The sequence below is a fragment of the Homo sapiens genome, chromosome 7 (assembly GCF_000001405.40).
Source record: "Homo sapiens chromosome 7, GRCh38.p14 Primary Assembly".
Classification (NCBI taxonomy): domain Eukaryota; kingdom Metazoa; phylum Chordata; class Mammalia; order Primates; family Hominidae; genus Homo; species Homo sapiens.
Window position 1 is genome coordinate 137,023,848 of NC_000007.14, and position 19,374 is coordinate 137,043,221.

Here is a 19,374-nt window from a genome sequence, read left to right on the forward strand (position 1 = left end):
TAAATGGGAGTTTATTAAGTCTTAACTTACATGATTATAAGGTCTCACAGTAAGCTGTCTGCAAGCTGAGGAGCAAGGAGAGCCAGTCCAAGTCCCAAACTGAAGAACTTGGAGTCCCATGTTTGAGGGCAGGAAGCATCTGGCAGGGCAGAAAGATGTAGACTGGGAAGCTAGGGCCATCTCACTTTTTCACATTCTTCTGCCTGCTTTATATTCACTGGCAGCTGATTAGATTGTACTCACCAGATTAAGGGTGGATCTGCCTTTCCCAGACCACTGACTCAAATGTTAATCTCTTATGGCAACACCCTCACAGACATGCCCAGAATTAATACTTTGAATTCTTCAATCCAGTCAAGTTGACATGCAGTATTAACCATCACAGCCTACTACACACCTAAGCTATATGGTATAGCCTATTGTATATTGTAGCCTGGACTACAAACCTGTACAGCAAGTAACTGTACTGAATACTATAGGTAGTTGCAAAACAGTGGTATTTGTGTATCTAAATACATAAAAACATACAAAAAGTACAGTAAAATTACAGTATTATAATCTTATGGAATGGACCACTCATATGTGGACACCATCTTAGATGCAGTTTGTCCTTGACCAAACATTAAGTGGTACATGGCTGTATAAGAAAACTGCTAATAATGACACATACACTAAATAGCAAAAAACAAACAAACAGAAAACAAGAAACAAAAATATGGGCAAAGTGCAAAAATATAACATACAATAAAAAAGCAATTCTATGGACTTAATGACTGCCATTTGTAATTATTTCTGAACAATATGCAGCAATTGCCGCTGTGGTCTCATGGGCTCTAAAAGTTTGTTCACAAAGTGGTGGACACTGTCCCATGGCCACCCTGTGAAGTAATCTAGACTGTGCTGTTTTAATGCAGATCTTGGCATGCACAATCAGCAGCTGGGAATGAGTCATCATTAGTTATTAGTCCTAAATCAAGAAATTAAAGTCTATCAAAGCCCCTGTTGGGTACAGAGTGTATGAGGAACTCTAAACTACCACAAACTTGGGAGAAATGAATGAAAATAAAATTATTAAAATTTCAGATATGATGAAAATGGGATCTAAAGTTTGTTTCATGTATGCATACCTATTTGGAAGCAAATTTTAATGAACAGTATTTCTTGGCCATGTACAGGTGAAATACTTTATGTAAATGACAACTTAGGATTATACTGTTACCTTAGCTATAATGATTTCTAAAAATTTGAATGACAAAGGAACCTGTTATCTTTCTTATTTGTTTCCACTGCTTTACTTTTTTGAGTAAGATATATAGCATTCACTTGAGAGAAATACACACGTAGTATAGAATCCTAGTCTTAAAAAATTCTGTAATAAAAGACAACTATTAAATGTATGTGAATTCCAAATCACGTAGGTTATTTAAGATTGAAAATTTACATACTAGAAAAATTGAAGAATGTTAGTATTCTTTAAAAAAGGTATGTTTTATATTCTACAAACGGCATACGGATAATTTTTGACAGGATCTTTAAAGATAATCCAAATTTATATATAAATTGGATTGGAGATTAAATATAACTATATACATATAGTTAGTTTTACTATCAAGTTCATGTATTTATACAAGTGTGTATAATTATATACATATTATATGCTTTATTTATAAAAGAGAAAGAACATGTTTAAAGAAACAGTACTAGGAATTTAATGGAAAATGACTTGCAAATGCAGGGAATGAGGTATGTACCAATGGAAAATATTCAGCATACCAAAGGAGTATTGGCTCAAGTGTTGATGATGCATATATACAAAGACATTTCAACTTCCAAATTCAGTGCTGAGGAAGCAGTGATGCCAAGTCTCAGAAAGAGTTGAAGAATAATATTTACATGCTGTGTCCTTGGATGTGTTTTTGCCAAACTATATCCCTAAATGAATCCTTACGCCAGTCAGAAAATACAACAAATACAACAATAAAATATTTTGCTTTTTTAAAAAAGACAATGATTCATCATGACCAGACATTGTGGCTCACGCCTGTAATCCCACCACTTAGGGAGGCAGAGGCGAGAAGATAGCTTGAACCCAGGAGATGGAGACCTGCCTGGGCAACATGGTGAGACCCTGTTCTCCACAAAAAGTAAAAAAAAGACAAACAAACAAAAAACCACTGTAACTCCCCTTATCAAATGATTCATCCTGTTTAGAATATCTCTGTGAGTATCTTGGAAACCAGACTCTATACTCCTGACTACTCTTTAAGAGAATGTCAATTAGTGCAAGTTCCTCACTTGATTAAGTACTAATTTCAGTGCAAATTACGGGGAGCTCTGGCTCTACCCTTAAAGACTTTTCATTTTGCTTTCACTATCTACCAGATGAAAATTGCTCAGGAGTACTCTTTCTACCAACTGTTCTACATTTCTGGCATTCCTAAAGTGTTGGCTAGATGGACTCCAGGTTTGCCTGGTTTCTAGATCGGTACTTAGTGGACTAGATGTGTCAGGAAGCATTCCTGTTTTTGTATAATTTCCACAAAGAATTGATTTTAAGACATCTATCCAATATGGTTTTCCTCTCTCCAAACAAGAAGAAAGTCAACACCCACAAAAACTCATATCAAATGTTCTCAAGTGTACACAGGTCACCATGGTGACTTGGCTTGGAGCTGACTATGTTCTTGTCAATGAGGTGGTAGCAATTCCAACCCCAGGAAGAATTCATTCAGAAGTATTCGTGCACTCAAGTTTATGATATAAACTTAGATTCTTTGAGTCTTGAGGTTGGTTACAACCTTATTTATCATTTATCCCCACTTTCAAGAGCAGATGCTCTCTATAAACTGTAATGGTCATAAAGACTTTGCTTCAGCCTCCCTGGAAATCAGCAGTTCAATTTCCTTGACACTTCACGCTGGCCTCTGTCTCATTTCATTATTCTATTCTGATCTGATCTTATCTATAACCTCAGCTTTTATTATCATCTTAAATGTGACAGAACATAAATCTTACCTCCATTCCAGGCTTCTCCATTGAACACCAGCACTGTATAGACTATTGTCTACCCACCTGAGCACCCCTCATGGATTTCTCACACCTTTCTCAACCTCAACATGTTCAAGGCTACCTTCCTGATTTCACCCTCAAAAGTGGCCCCATTCTGCTATTTCCTAACCCATCTTCTACTCAGTTGCACAAAATGGAAACCAAAGCACTACCTTTGACTTTCACCTCTAATTATACCTCCAGTCCTCCCAATTTTACCTCATAAATATCAAATCTGTTAAATCTATGAACTTCTCCCATTTCCACTAATACCTCTACACAGCACAGGTAGCCTAACTGATTTTACCACATCAGCTCTGACCCCATCCCATATGTCTTCTATACTGAAACCAGAGCAGTCTTTTCAGAAGGCAAATCTGCTTCAGATCTGTGGGTGATTCCCTCCTTTGCCAAAGTCCAGAATCCTTTATCTGGCCTAGGAGCACTTCAAGGCATAGCCCCTCCTTCCTCTCCATCCTCACCTCTCACCACACTCCCATGTGATTGCATAGCGCTTGCCACATTGGCACAAGCCACACCTGTCCTCATCATGCACCCCCTGCTAAAGGACCTTTGCACATGCACTTAATCATACTTTGCCTGGAAAGCTCTCCTCACCCATCATTACCTGGATAGCTCCTAAGTACCCTTTGCATCTCAGATCCAGGATGAGACTTTCTGGTATACCTCCCTGAGTGTTCTAACTACATCAAATCCCCTACTATAGCCCCCATAGCAATTTTCATAGCTGAAATTTTATTTATGCATGAGAGATCATTTGACTAAATTTTTGTCTCCACCTATAGAATATACGCTTTGAAAATTCAAAGACCACATCTACATTTGTTCACCTAAGACAGTGCTTTATACATGATCACTCTTCTCTCACTAACATTTTTTCCTTACTTTCTAGATATCTAAATTTGAGAAAGTTATTTAATTTCTTCATATGTAAAGACAGTCAATATCTATATATACATAGTATTGCTATAAATTATATATATATTTATACAAGCACTAATTTGAGGATTAGAAGTAATTAGAGTTTGAAAAGCTCCTAGCAGAGTGCCTGACAAAGAGGAGTACTCAAAGTTGTATATGTGTAACACTTACTGTCATGGAAAACTGAAATAGAGACCAAAGATTTCAGAGCTTTTAGCCTTCACTTTGCAGAGTCCTAAGTGTCCTGTAAACCCAGCCGGTGCTTTTCTGAAATAAGTGAGACTTCTGGAAACTCCAGACCATTTCCTCAATAAAGGGAATTAACTATGAAACACTCCAGATAGAATATAATTATTCTTTTCTTTTGAGACATTGCTCAAATCATTTTAGCGTTTTGCTTAAATAGTCACGTAAATTACAGTAATAAGGTTATTCATATCTTACACTGTTCTAGCTCATTTTACATTCCAGGTATTTTTTTAGATCTGGTGTTAATCATATGAGAAATTTTTGTACTTATTTTATAGATGAGGAACTGGAAGCTCTCTGAGATCAAGTAATTGCCCAAGGTCACAGATGCATGTGGAATAGCCAAGACTCAAATCTAAAAGTGGTTAATTATACAGCAAGCACCTGAGAAGCAGCTTGACCTGGTTTCCTCGGTCTAAACCTCTGGGGAATATGTATATATCTATATATGTATAATATATATGTATATGTAATGTATATTTACATATATAATATATAATATACTTATATAATGCAATATATATGTACAGTATATATTCCTATATTAATACCTCATTAATAGATTTCTTTTCATTGTTATTTCTATTTATGGTTTTATTGTTAATAAAACCATGGTACATTTATGATAAGTGACAATATTATTGTACAGTTGAAGTATCATACAACATTACAGCATTATTTTATTGCTAATTTCTTTGTACATCCAGCTCAAGCAGCTAGTTGAAATATTTTCCAGGATTGCAACCCCCCAGGGGATTTTCAGGGTGACCCAAGTGATGCCTCCTGAAATGCCCAGTTTCTATGGTGCAGCCAGATAGCTGAAGAAGCTACACCCAGACAGGCTGTGCTTGATGCTCCCCCATTGTCTGGTCCATAAATATAACAGGTGTCTGAGAGAGCTCGGGGCCTGCAGAATTTGAGGGCAAGGCCGGCTTGGGGACACAGCAAAAAGGGTCTCTTCTCCCAGCCCTTCTTTTCCACCAATGCCCTGTCCTTTATCCCCAAGACCTGCAGTCCCCAGTGAGAAGTGTTTGCCCAGCTCTCAATCCTACATTAAAGGAAACTTCCACTTTGGAGACTTGACCAGGGAGCTCTGCTTCTTGGGCCCACAGAGGCAACTTAAGTCTAGGCCTGAGTTTCCCCCCTCTTTAAACCCTCCTGAGCCTCTTACAGTTATAGAGCTTCTTGAAATTTCTATTAGATGGTCAGATACTTTGACATTAGTCTTTAAACAGAACTATTCTTATTAATCTCAAGCAAAACCATAGAAACCATTGTTAGTGGAACAAAATGCCCCTTCACAAAGTGCCTACCAATTTATACAGTGAACATCACACATTTCACCCAAGCTAATCCTTATACCTACCCTATAAGGTGGACACTATTATCACTTTTTTCAGATAAGGGATATTTGATTTAGAAGTTAAATGACTTGGCCTATATCACTTTGATTTCCTGCACATAAGGAAACAAATTGTTCTCTCGCATTTATTTAATTTTAATTTTAGAGACATTGTCTCACTATGTTGCCCAGACTGGTCTCAAACTCTTGGGCTCATGTGATCCTCCTGCCTCAGCCTCCCAAGTAGCTGAGACTATAGGCACGTGCCACTATGCCTGGCTTGTTCTCTCAATTTAAAAGCGCACACTCAGGCAGTAGAAGATTAAGGGACCAAAAATAGAGTTGATATGTGCTTATAGTAGAGGTTATTGTATCTTCCAACCCTAATGAGGTGGAGTTTATAAGTCAAGTCTTTCCAGGGTTACTCTCAGATAACTTCAGAATATTGTTCCAAGGTAAACAAATGCTACTTGGGGTCATGTCAGTCCAGACTAGTTGGCTACATTTTTTCCATGGGGTTGGTTGGGGCCAGCCATGAGATCCAGTGGTTTTAGTTTTTTTTTTTATTTACTTCAAAATAGCATGCCCATTCAAATGGCTACTATATTCACTTTTCAAAATAATTTATGAATAATCAAGATCTGATATGTTAGATAGAATCCAACTTGCTAAAATTAAATTCTTTCCTTCTATTTTGTGTATGTGGTGGAGGGAGGAGGGTGAGCAAATCAAAGTCATCTTTAGAAATATTTTAGGATAAATTCTGATGAAGCTGCTTGAGGTTTTCAAATTAAATTACTGAATATGAAAGCTGATGTTTCCTATAGAAAAGCAGTGTTTTCAATTTTATTTATTCACTTCCAAGAGCTCTAATCATATTTCTCACATGAACTGTCTCAAGAGTCAGTAACAATTTTTTGATTCAAAGGAAAATCAGACCTGCAAGAAAAAGTCAGATTGAAGAGATAGGCTAGAGCTAAGGACTGTAGCAAATTACGGAGTTCCCATTAGTGAATGACATAGAGCTAGAACAGACAATTGAAGGGAGCAATAGAGAGAGATCTGTTCAGGTAAGCGGCTGGCTTAGCGTAGGAAGCACAATAAAATACTTTATCATCGGTCATTAGGCAGAGTCCTTACATCTGGATTCCAACATTATGTATCAAGCCATGCTGAGTATCTTTCTCCAGCCCCTTCTGGTCCACTACATTCTCCATCCTGCTCTGTGGATTTTGGGAAGCTGACCTGTATGCATCGCATTAATATGCTTCTTAGCCATAACTAAAACTTATCTTCTAGTTTTTAGTTGAGGTCACCCACCACAACTTGGCTGTGTCCTCCTACAAGAGGCCAACCAAGTGGCCTGCAATCTAGGTCCAGTAACTTCTCCCTCCCTTGGCCTTTCAGGCTGAAGGGTGGTAATGGCACTTCTCTGTTACTAGCCCCAGCATCTTGCACTGTTCTCTTTTGTATGGATTTCCTAAACACCATCCTCACCTCTGTACATAGCGCCTTTATTAAACTTTCCTCAATGCATCGATTCTGAATGGATTGTTACCTACTATGTCCTTAGGTAATAAACAAGTATTGTTTATGAAAGTAGAAAGCATAAGATTCTTTAATTTCCATGAAATGTTTAAAAGGTAATTTAGGACTCCAATTCTGAAGCGATGGATTCAAAAGCCAGAATATCAGGACGAGCACAAGGATTGAGAATTCAGAGGACAATAGAAAATTAGACATCTATTTTAGAGTTACGACTTAATTTGATGGTTTGACCAAACCAACCAGGAGCCAATTACTACAAATTCTTTCATTTGTTCATAAAATCATTTATTCAGAAAATATTTATGGAGTGAAAGTGATTTATCTGGCTCTATTCTGGGGTTTTGAGATCCAGTACTGCACAGGGAAGATCCAAAAGTTTTTTCCATCACATAGACTGTGTAGCTGAAGCCAAGTGGATATACATAAAGATGATTTTAAACAAAGTGTCACAGTGGTTATTTAGAAGACGGTTTTGAAATATTTACTCATTATTATAATCTGAACTCAAGATTAACATATCTTCCCAAAACGAAGACAAAGAACACATTTGCTCTACATAAATGATAAGTAGCAATGAACAAAATGAAAGAAAACATGAATCAACACTCCAAATCTCTAAAATATTTACCACTGTTCTAAAATTGAGCTCTTTTGATTGGAAAGATAAACATAACTATGAAAATCATTAGAATCACTAAGAAATTCAGATTTTGAGAATTTGAAGTTATTGCATTATATAAGCAACAGAACTAGTTCTTGTACTAGGCAGGGGCATATTTATTCTCTTTATCTGAAGGCAAGTAAGATCATCTTACTCTTTTGGAACATTTGGAAATATTTCCTAAGTTTGGTGAAGACTCTTACATTATTTAGATGCCAGTTATCTGTGAGACAAACTTAAGTATTCTGATATTTTGATTATCCCTACCTCTTGCTTCTTCTGTCCTGGTCTCCTCATCAACAAAAGTGTGAATTATAAGTTTCTTTCTGAATCAAATATAATAATGTGTTTCATTTTGTATGTTATTTCATTTGGTCAGAAATGCTCAAAGTTTAGAGGCTTAAAAACACATTAAAATGTCCACTTAAATCAAGAAGAGATAAAGATCTTTACAGACACTACCAATTACAGAATATCTCATGAATTGAGTGACTATTATTATCTGCCTCCCTTTTTAATATCATACATTTGAGAAAAACACTTTAGAAACTTAAGCTTTTTAAATGTAAAATGTAAATGTATAGAGACTCTGGAAGATAATCTTGGAAATACCATTCTGGGCATAGGCCATGGCAGAGATTTCATGAAGACCCCAAACAACATTGCAACAAAAATTCGCATATGGGACCTAATTAAACTAAAGAGTTTCTGAACTGCAAAATAAACTATCAACAGAGTAAACAGACAACCACCAGAATGGGAGAAAATATTTGCAAACCATGCATTTGACAAAGGTCTAATAGCCAGATTCTATAAGGAACTTAAACACATTAACAAGCAAAAAAACAACCTCATTAAAAGGTGGGCAAATGACACAAATAGATAGTTTTTAAAGAAGACATATGCGCAGCCAGCAAGCATATGAAAATGCTCAACATCACTAATCACTGGAGACATCCAAATCAAAACCACAATGAAATACCATCTCACACCAGTCAGAATGGCTATTAAAAAGTCAAAAAAATACAGATGCTTGTGGGGTTGCAGAGAATAAAGAATGTTTATACACTGCTCGTGTGAATGTAAATTAGTTCAGCTACTGTGGAAAGCAGTATGGAGATTTCTCACAGAAGTAGCGGGGCATGGTGGCATGTACCTTTAGTCCCAGCTCCTGGAGGATGAGATGGGAGGATCGCTTGATCCCAGGAGGTGGAGGTTGCAGTGAGCCAGTCTTGCCACTGCACTCCAGCCTGGGCAACAGAGGGACACCAACACCCTGTCAAAAAAAAAAAAAAAAAAAAAAAAAGAACTTAAAATAGAACTACCATTGAACTCAGCAATCCCATTACTGGGTAAGCACACAGAGGAAAGTAAATTGTTCTACCAAAAAGACATGTGTACTTGTATGTTCATTGCAGCACTATTCACAATAGCACAGATATGGAATCAACTTAGATGCCCATCAATGGTGGATTGGATAAAGAAACTGAGGTACAACGTATACACCATGCAACACTATGTGGTCATAAAAAAGAATGAAATCATATCCTTTGCAGCAACATGAATGCAGCTGGAGGTCATTATCCTAGGCAAACTAATGCAGGAAGAGAAAATCAAATACTGAATGTTCTCACTTATAAGTGGGAGACAAACATTAAGGAAACATGGACACAAAGAAGGGAAAAATAGACACTAGGGCCTACTTGAGGGTGGAGGGTGGGAGGAGGGTGAGGATCATGAAACTACCTATCAGGTACTATGCTTATTACCTGGGTGATGAAATATCTGTTCACCAAACCCCCATGACACACAATTTACCTATACAGCAAACCTGCACATGTACCCCTGAACCTAAAATAAAAGTTAAAAACAAAAAAGAAAGTTACTCTTTGGGAAAGGGTCAGACACAAATGATAGATCACATAAAAAGGGGAATTGCTTTTTAAAGAGATGAGATTATTTTAAAAAAAAAAAAAATGGCCAGACACCGTGGCTCATGCCTGTAATCCCAGCACTGTGGGAGGCAGAGGCAGGAAGATCACGAGGTCAAGAGATCAAGATCATCCTGGCCAACATGGTGAAACCCTGTCTCTACTAAAAATACAAAAATTAGCCAGGCGTGGTGGTGCACACCTGTAGTCCCAGCTACTTGGAAAGCTGAGGCAGGAAAATCACTTGAACCTGGGAGGTGGAGGCTGCAGAGAGCCAAGATCGTGCCACTGCATCCAGCCTGGGTGACGGAGCAAGACTCAGTCAAAAAAAAAAAAAAAAAAAAAAAGAGGCCTTGATATCCAAGCAGAAATCATAAAGAAAAAAAAAGATTTTTATGTTTGTTTTTGAAAACTTTTTAAAAAATTTGTTACAAAACTTCCTTTAACAACAATAAAGCCAGACTAGAAATTAATTGCAATGTACGCAATGAAAAATATTAATGTCCTTAATATATAAACAGCTTTTGCAGATCAACAGCAAAGAGATAAACTTCATAAACAATTGGCAGAATATATGAAATGGTGGCCCTCCAAAAACAGAAATATAAATTAAAGACTATTTGATATAGAAAAGTTTATATTCTTATTATTAATAAAACGTAATTTAAGGCAATAAAGATATTCCATTTTATATGGATAATTATTGCATTTCTTTAAAAGGACAATTTGTAATTTCACTACATGTACGAGTTATTTCCAGACTGCTGATGAACTTGTTTGTATTTCTGTTTTCATGAGAAATTTGAAAATTTGCAATAAAATGGTAAAAGCGAAAATTACTTTAAAAAAAAATGAAAGAGCTGCTTGTATGAAAACACTAATAAAATTGGCAAACCTTTAGAAAGATGAACAAAGGAATATAAAGAGCGAATATACTAATTCCTGATCTCAGAAGTTAAACAGCATATATCACTATACATCCTGCAAATAACCCAAAGGATGATTACAGAATGCTACAAAAAATTATGCATGTATAAAATGGACAACTTTGATAAAACAGGTCACCTCCTTGAAAATACAAATAATCACAACTCATCCAATGTGAAGTAAATAATTTGAATAGCTCCATAACAATTAAGAAAATTGAATTAATAATTTAAAACTAATAGCCCCCCAAAAAGTCACCAGGCGAGATGGTTTCACTGGAAAATTCTACCAAACATTTAAAAAAGAAGGAAAATAGCCTTTTCACCAAATGATGCTAGAGCAATTAGACATCTACAACAAAAATGTGAACTTCAACCTAAGCCTCATACCTTATACAAAATATAATTCAAATGCATTATAAAGTTAAAAGTAAGTATAAATTTACAAAACTTTTAGGGAAAAAAAAACAAAAAATACTTGATTTCTAAGGCTAGAAAGAGTGTCCTTAGATTTGACATCGAAAGCATGAGCCATAAAAGGAAAAACTGATAAATGAGATTTCATAAAAATTAAAAACCGTTGCTCTCCGCAAGACTGTGGACAAGATGAAAAGAGAAGATATGAACAGTGAGAAAATATTTGCAAAAATAGTATACAGAATATTTGAAGCGCTTTCAAACCTCCACAATAAAAAAAGCAAGCAATCGAATTAGAAAATGAGCATAAGACATGAACAGACATTTCACAAGAGAAGATACACTGACATCAAATAAGTATTAGCCATCAGGGAAATAAAAATGAGAACCACAGTGAAATATCACAACACACTAATGACAATGGCTAATACATACATAAACAGCACCAAATGCTGGCCAGGATGTAGGGAAATTAGATCACTCAGACATTATTAATGGGAATGCAAAATAGTACAGTCACTCTGGAAAACAGATTGGCAGTGTCTTAAAAACCAACCACGTATTTACTATCCAACCCAGCAATTTGTACTCCTGAGTTTATCCCAGGGAAATTAAGACTTATGTTCACACAAAAATCTCATCCATGAATGTTTATACCACTTTTGTTTGTAATAGCCCCAAATTGGAAACAACTCAGATGAACAAGTGAATGGTTGAACAAACTCTGGTATGTCATATCATGGTGTACTATTTAGCAGTACAAATAATAAACTACTGAAATATACAACAGCTTGGATGATTCCCCGGGGAATTATAGTGAATGAAAAAAATTCAATCCCAAAAGGTTATATGCATAACATTGCTAAAACTATAGAAATGTGTCCCAACCCAAATCTCATGTCGAATTGTAATCCCCAATGTTGGAGGAGGGTTCTGGTGGGAGGTAATTGGATCATGGGGACAGACTTCCCCTTTGCTGTTCTCAAGAAAGTGAGTTCTCAGGAGATTTGGTTGCTTAAAACTGTGTAGCACCGCCCACTTTGCCCTCTCTTCCTCCTGCTCTGGCCACATAAGACGTGCCCGCTTCACTTTCCCCTTCCACCATGATTGTAAGTTTCCTGAGGCCTCCCCAGAAGCAGAAGCCTGTACAGCCTGTGGAATCATGAACCAATTAAACCTCTTTTCTCAAAAACAAAAACAAACAAACAAAAAAGAAATGGAGACAAGATTAGTGCTGTCAGGGATTAAGGAGATGAAAGAGGGAAAGAAATGACTGCAGCTAAATGGGGACAACATGAGGGATCCTTGTGAACCTTTAAATGTTTCACCGTCACTGTATCAATGTCAATAGTGTGGTTGTTATATTGTGCTATAGTTTTATAAGATATCATCATTGAAGGAAACTAGGTAAAAGATACATGGAGTCTGTCTGTATTATCTCCTAAAACAATAATAATCTAAAATCATTTCAAAATTAAAAGGTAAATTTAATATATATGATATTATACACACAGAGATACACACATACATACAAATATATCTATAATTCCACAAATGTAAGCAGATAAAACTCCAGTTTTCTCTCAGTAAGAGGGAAGTCAGTAGTAGGTATCCAGATGTTTCCTCCACAGTCCATCATTCTGACCATTTTATTACCAAATATCCATTTTACTTTCCTTTTCTTCCTTAAAATCTGCCAGCTTCCAGGACAACCATCCCTTCAATGGAACCAGTTCATTGACAAAGATCTCAATGTGACAGATAGTCCTTCCTTCTTTGTCTGGCAACCTTTGAAATAAAAAGTAAATTACCTGCATCTACATTAATTTACTTGCCCTGTCTGCCACATGCACCACATGTGCAATGCAGGAACAGGGACAGGATAACCATAATAAACCTTCTGAGGAAAAATGGAGGAGAATGAAATGCTCACAGTCACTGGTCCAGAGCAATGCTGCAGTCCTCTTGGGCAGCATAAAGTCCTCCTATTCTGGAGAGAGGAAAGTTCCTAGATTCTACTCTAAGGGAAAATCCCTACATTCCATTCACCCAAAGTAGTTACATGGCCTTGATCTCACTCCAAGAGGAACTTGAAAATTTAGCTTTCAGTGTTTCAAGGAACAGGATTCAGATTGTTGAGTAGCTGGCCATTCCCTTTCACACCCGCTCTAGCTAATATCAAGGTTTATTACATAATCAGAGTGGTTATTAAAAGTAAAATCGTGTTTACTTTGCATATCAGGACAAACATTTGTATATGCACATGGAGAGGAACATACAATAAATGTCATTACTGTGTTGTTTGTAACTGTAAAAACTGTTAAAAAACCTACATATCTAATAAGAGGAAAGGCCTAATTCACTATGTAAGTAAATAATACTGTGAAAGTATTTTAAAGAAATGAACTTAATAAATACAGGAGGGAAAAGCAAGTTGTAGAATAATATGCACATAATAAAGCATATTTATAAATATAAGTTTGCAGTCACACAGACAAATGATATTTTACAGTTTCATTTATGTATATGTAAATGCATGGGAAACATTTTAGAAAGTTATAGAACAAATTAAAAACAGTCTTTTTCCAATGATTGGAAAATTACAAGTGGGAGTGGTTGTCACAGGAGGCTAATATTTTTAGTAATGTTTTAATTTTTAGGCAAAGAAAAAAATATTACCTGTGGGGATTTAAACAAATGAAGCAAACATTAACAACAATAACAACTGGAGTGGAAATGCATTAACATATTAATAATGGACACTAGGTGTTTGAATTGTAGCTGCATTTTATTTTATTTGCTCCAAATGGTATTTCTCTTGGGTTTCTCAGAAACACATTGATATGGTTTGGCTTTGTGTCCTACCCAAATTTCATCTTGCATTTTAAACCCCATGTGTCGAGGGAGGGACCTGGTGGGAGGTGACTGGATCATGGGAGTGGTTTCCCCCATGCTGTTCTTGTGATAGTGAGGGAGTTCTCATGAGATCTGACAGTTCAAAAGCGACAGTTTCCCCTGATCTCTCTCTCTCTCTCTTTCCTGCTGCTTTGAGAAGAAGGTACTTGCTCTTCCTTCACCTTTGACCAAAATTGTAAGTTTCCTGAGGCCTCCCCAGCCATGCAGAACTGTGAGTACGTTAAAACTCTTTTCTTTATAAATTACCCAGTCTCAAGCAGTTCTTTATAGGACTGTGGAAATGGATTCATACACACATTTTCATATTTAAAACTTTAAATCATACAAAATTTTTTAATGAAAATAAATCATGGTGCTGCATAAAAGAGGATACTACCCATCAAAGTCTGTATGGTTTTCTTTGACATGGAAAGATGGTCACACATTATCAGTTATAAAGTGTTATTTATCTTAGTTATAGAGTATTACAGGTTACAGAACAGAACATTATCTTAGTTATAGGGTATTACTTATTTTCAAGCAACAGACACCCCCTCAAGCTAGCTTAAGTGATAGAGAATTTATTATAAGAACTCAAATGTTATAGACATAGTCAAGAAGCCAATGCAAGCCTTGTGGGAGGCAGAGAAGAGCATCATGAAGCTTAGGAGCAATCAAAGCAGCCATTGCATTTCTGTCTCTCTTTATTTCATTCACATAAAAATGAGAGAAAAAAGAAATAACACAGAAAGAAATAGGAGAAAGGAAAGATTGGTAAATGTTTTGTCAATTATTCCTTTATTAATAATTTATATATTATTCATATAGTCATTTATGCAAAAAATGAACTAGAGAAAGAAAAAATAAAGGATAGAAGCAAAGATGGAAGGAACACAGGTTAAATATCACAGTTAATTATTGGTTATTTCTCTTTACAAAATTTAAAAAAAAAAAATTCCTAAGTTATTTCAAGACCCTAAGATCCTGGAATAAAAATATGATGTTGTCATTTTCCTTGCTTCCTTCAGAAAACATGATCACTGTTCTGTATTAATTGCATTCCTGGGAGGGAGCAAGGGGTTTTATGAGATAGCCTCAGGGCTTGTATCTATTTCTCATGAACTATAGTCTCCCTCAAAGTTATTCACTACATAAACTACTCCACAGAAATGGCGCCCTAGAATTTAAGCTCTGAATCGAGGGATGTACCTAGTTGCCTTATTCTTGGACTTCTTCCTTTTATGACTATTAAATGGGGATTGGTCAAATGTACCAGATCAAAGACATTTAGGAAACACAAAGGGGATGCAATGTCTACCTGGAGAGACGCTCAATGGCATTTTCAAGTGCTATCTTTCCCTGTATTTCACTACTTCATAACTCTCAAGGCATGTTGTCCCATAAGTTAATTTTATAACTTCAGCTAGTTAGAACCCACCATTTTCAGTGATACTGCAGAGTTTGAGATGCATCATTCATGTCAAAATCCTCTCTACCACTTTGGTAAGGAATACAGAATATAATTTTATTCAAATAATCACAAACGCTCAGTCTTTACCAATAATTCATAAGCATAATCCTCTGGAAAAAGAATCAAATAATTTAACATGAAAATTTCAGTTATATTTGGGTTTAACTATAAATATTCCTCAACAACTTTATTGAGCAGATTTGTTCCTCAAAGACACTGTGACTTTAATCAGAAGAAGTTTACTTCAAATAGAAAAGTGAAAAGTACAATGAGATGCCCCTTTCAGAATTTTACTATGAGATGTAGGAAGAATCTAAAAAATATCAAATTTTCCATGTCCTCCACACTCTAAAAACATAGACAAAATGTAGACCTGGGTTTGTACAATCTATGAAAGAATGCTCCTTTTTCTGTAGATTTCAGTGTTCTCTGGATGAAAACTCGCTCACGGTTTCAAATAAATGCCGCCAGAAATAATAGGAAAACTCTGCATTTTTAGCATTTTATTTAGAGTCTGATGAAACTTCTCAGTTACAGCTAAAAGTTAATTATGAAATTTATAAGTGGCTTTACTCTTTAAGAAACAAAACCAGACAATAACATTATAATTTAAAATTTGGTTAAATGTCTGCTTCCCTTTACCTCATCATCAAGGGCCATGACACTGTTTCGTATTTTTAAATTCTGGAAAAAGACAGTCATTGAAATGGTAGTTTCTTATAGCACAGGACTTCTCATATTTTCTTCCTGAAAGTATATATGAGAATTGTTCATTTCAATGCAGATGACAGAATTTTTAAAATAAAATCTCAGAGAAAAAATAACCACAATGTTAAATAAATCAAAATTAAAATTAAAGTTTATTAGACTCATGATATAAGACTATAAATAATTTGTTCTTAAAATTTCCCCTAAGGCAATGACAATGATGTTTGTCATTCACAGGACTTGAAACAATTCCCTGGAGGAGAACTTGGAGATACTTCTGCAGAAACACACATATATATATATATATATATATATATATATACATATTTGGAATTGGCAGGGGGTAATAAAGATACCCATAGGGGATATGGCTCAAAAAAAAACAAAAAATATTAGCTAAGACAAGAAGCCCCAACTGCTGATAGAGAAGACTAAGATCCTGCCTTAATACTTATTAATGCTGTATATAGCAAATGTTCAAACTCTTTCTATTTATTTAGCATCTGGTAATATACAGGGGATTGTGCCAGGCACTGGGATGGAAAGAAAAATATAGCATACCGTACACTCTCACAAAACTCTCATTCCTCTGGTAGATGCTCCATAAATATGAACACACGTTATACATGAAGGAATGAATGAATAAGTGAATGAGTTAGTTGATGACTAGAAATTGTTCATTGAAAGTGATGATTGAAACCGTCATCTTCAAGAAAAAAATTAGGCAGTACTTTGAAATTACTGATAACCATTATATGAGTAGAATGTCTCAGTGTTACTTGATTTGGGTTATAAATGTAAATAGCTAGCGGTTATCAGAATCAGTGATAATGTCAGAGGCGTGTAAACCAGAGCAACTCCATCTTAAATAGGAGCTGGGTAAAATGAAGCTGAAACCTACTGGGCTGCCCTCCCAGATGGTTAAGGCATTCTAAGTCACAGTATGAGATAAGATATCAGCACAAAATACACGTCATAAAGACCTTGCTGATAAAACGTGTTGCAGTAAATGAGCCAGCCGAAATCCACCAAAACCAAAATGACAACGAGAGTGACCTCTGGTCATCCTCACTGCTACACTCCCACCAGTGCCATGACAGCTTACAAATGCCACGGCAACATCAGGAAGTTACCATATATGGTCTAAAAAGGGGAGGCACAAATAATCTACCCCTTGTTTAGCATATCATCAAGAAATAAAAATGGGCAACCAGCAGTCCTCGGGGCTGCTCTGTCTATGGAGTAGCCATTGTGTTTACTCCTTTACTTTCTTAATAAACTTGCTTTCACTTTGCACTGTGGACTCGCCCTGAATTCTTTCTTGCACAAGATCCAAGAACCCTCTCTTGGGGTCTCGATTGGGACCCCTTTCTTGTGACAATAACAATTTGTCTATGCAGCACATAGTAGGACTACTTAAACTCAGAATAAAACTTGCCACATAGCAAATGTTCAATAAATGTGTGTTTTAATAGTGCCTTAGCCTGTTTGGGCTGATAAAACAAACTACCACAGACTGGAGGGCTTATATACAACAGAAGTTTATTTCTCACAGTTCTGGAGTCTGGGAAATCCCAGACCAAAGGACCAGCAGATTCTGTGTCTGTTGAGGGTCCACTTCCTGCTTCATAGACTGCCATTTTCTTGCTGCTTCTTCATGTGGTAGAAGGGGTGGAGAGGGAGTTCTCTGGGGTCTTTTCTTATAAGGTCACTAATTCCACTTATGAGGAGTCCCTCCTCATGATCTAAACACCTACCAAAGGCTCTCCACATAATGCCATCACACTGGGGATTGGAATTTAAACATAGGAATTTTGCAGGGCCCAAACAGCCAATCTATAGCAAATAGTGGTAAAATACACGTGAAAAAATTAAACCAAAGTATATTTTTAAAAAATACCCTAACATCAAGCTCTAAAGTCAAGTCATCAAAATCAGTAGTATAATCCAAGTTACTTTTATTTTTACAAAAACATATAGATTTGTGGGATACATGTACAGTTTTGTTACATGCATATATTGCAAAATGAAGTCTGGACTTCCAGTGTAACCTTCACTCGAATATGTAAATTATACCCAATAGGTAATTTCTCATCCCTCACCCTGTTCCCACCTCCCGTCTTTTGGAGTCTCCAATGTCTATTATTCCACTCCATATGTCCATGTGTAAGCATTTTTAAGCTCCCTCCTATAAAGGAGAACATGTGGTATTTGACTTTCTTTTTCTGAGTTGTTTCACTTAAGTAATGGCTTCCACTTCCAATCATGTTGCTGCAAAAAACATGATTTCATTCTTTTTTCAGGGCACTTTTTGAGCTGTGAGGATTCCTAATCCCTGTTGAAAAAAAAATGAGTAAATTCTGAACTGTAAAATACAGGGACAGCAAAGCCGTCCTTGTTATTCAAAAAGCCCATTGAGGCTGATTTAGATGTGTGTAGGATTAGGGGTTGTTGAAGATAAGAATTCAGCTCTGCCCCCACCTCCAACCCCCATTTCTCTCTTCCCTCTTCCCTCTTCTCTCTCTCATTCCCAATTGCTCTAACTTGTTTTCCCTCTCTCTTTCTCTCTCTCTTTTCAGTTCTTGACATTCAGAGGCACCATGAAGTCAGTTGGAAATCAAGTACAAATTTATTCTCATATTAGTACTCTTCCATCATTCTGAATTAGTATGCATAGTAGCTAATATGTTATGAAAGTCACTTACCAATAACAATGCAGTCTATGAATACTAATCTGAAGGGATACCAGCCATAAAGAAAAGACTGCCACTCTGATTGGGTAAGGCTAATAAGACAGCCTTGGGCAAAATAAGTGACAGATCCTCATTTTCATGCATTTCTCCCATGCTGCTTTGACTCTCCCTTTCTTTACATTCCATTCAATGTAGAAAAATCAACATTTATTTATGAAGACAATTTTATATTCAATTCTGGTATTCCTGACACTTCCCACATCTGTCCTATAATTGTGATATATGAATAATTAGTCTGTTACTAGAACAATCATATTTGGCTTTTTCCCCCTTGAAAATTAACTAATGGCTCCATTGGGGATTTATGATAACATTTAGTTCCTGTCTCTTTTTATTTTTTCATCCTTTTTTTGGAATCTCAGTTCCTACATGTCTCAATAGATTTAATACAGTAGGTCTCAGGCCTAGCTACATAATAGAATCAACTGGAACAATCTTAAAGTAATACTCATGTCTTGGCTTTACCTAAGATCAATGAAACCT

At 36.1% G+C, this 19,374-nt stretch overlaps 1 long non-coding RNA gene across 1 annotated transcript in view, besides 1 other annotated feature; it reads right to left on the reverse strand.

Annotated features, from left to right (window-relative positions):
- The window catches only part of LOC349160 (uncharacterized), a 265,569-nt gene that overhangs the window by 125,075 nt on the left and 121,120 nt on the right, over positions 1 to 19,374 (reverse strand). The window contains exon 2 of the long non-coding RNA NR_046103.1: positions 8,947 to 9,066. This is a non-coding gene — a long non-coding RNA (uncharacterized LOC349160). The remainder of the gene's footprint in view (positions 1 to 8,946; positions 9,067 to 19,374) is intronic.
- Positions 2,302 to 2,502: a silencer, noted in NCBI's record as "peak6770 fragment used in MPRA reporter construct". NCBI's record gives its function as "represses an SCP1 promoter by STARR-seq MPRAs in K562 erythroleukemia cells {active_cell/tissue: K562}" and the evidence as "EXISTENCE:reporter gene assay evidence [ECO:0000049][PMID:32103011]".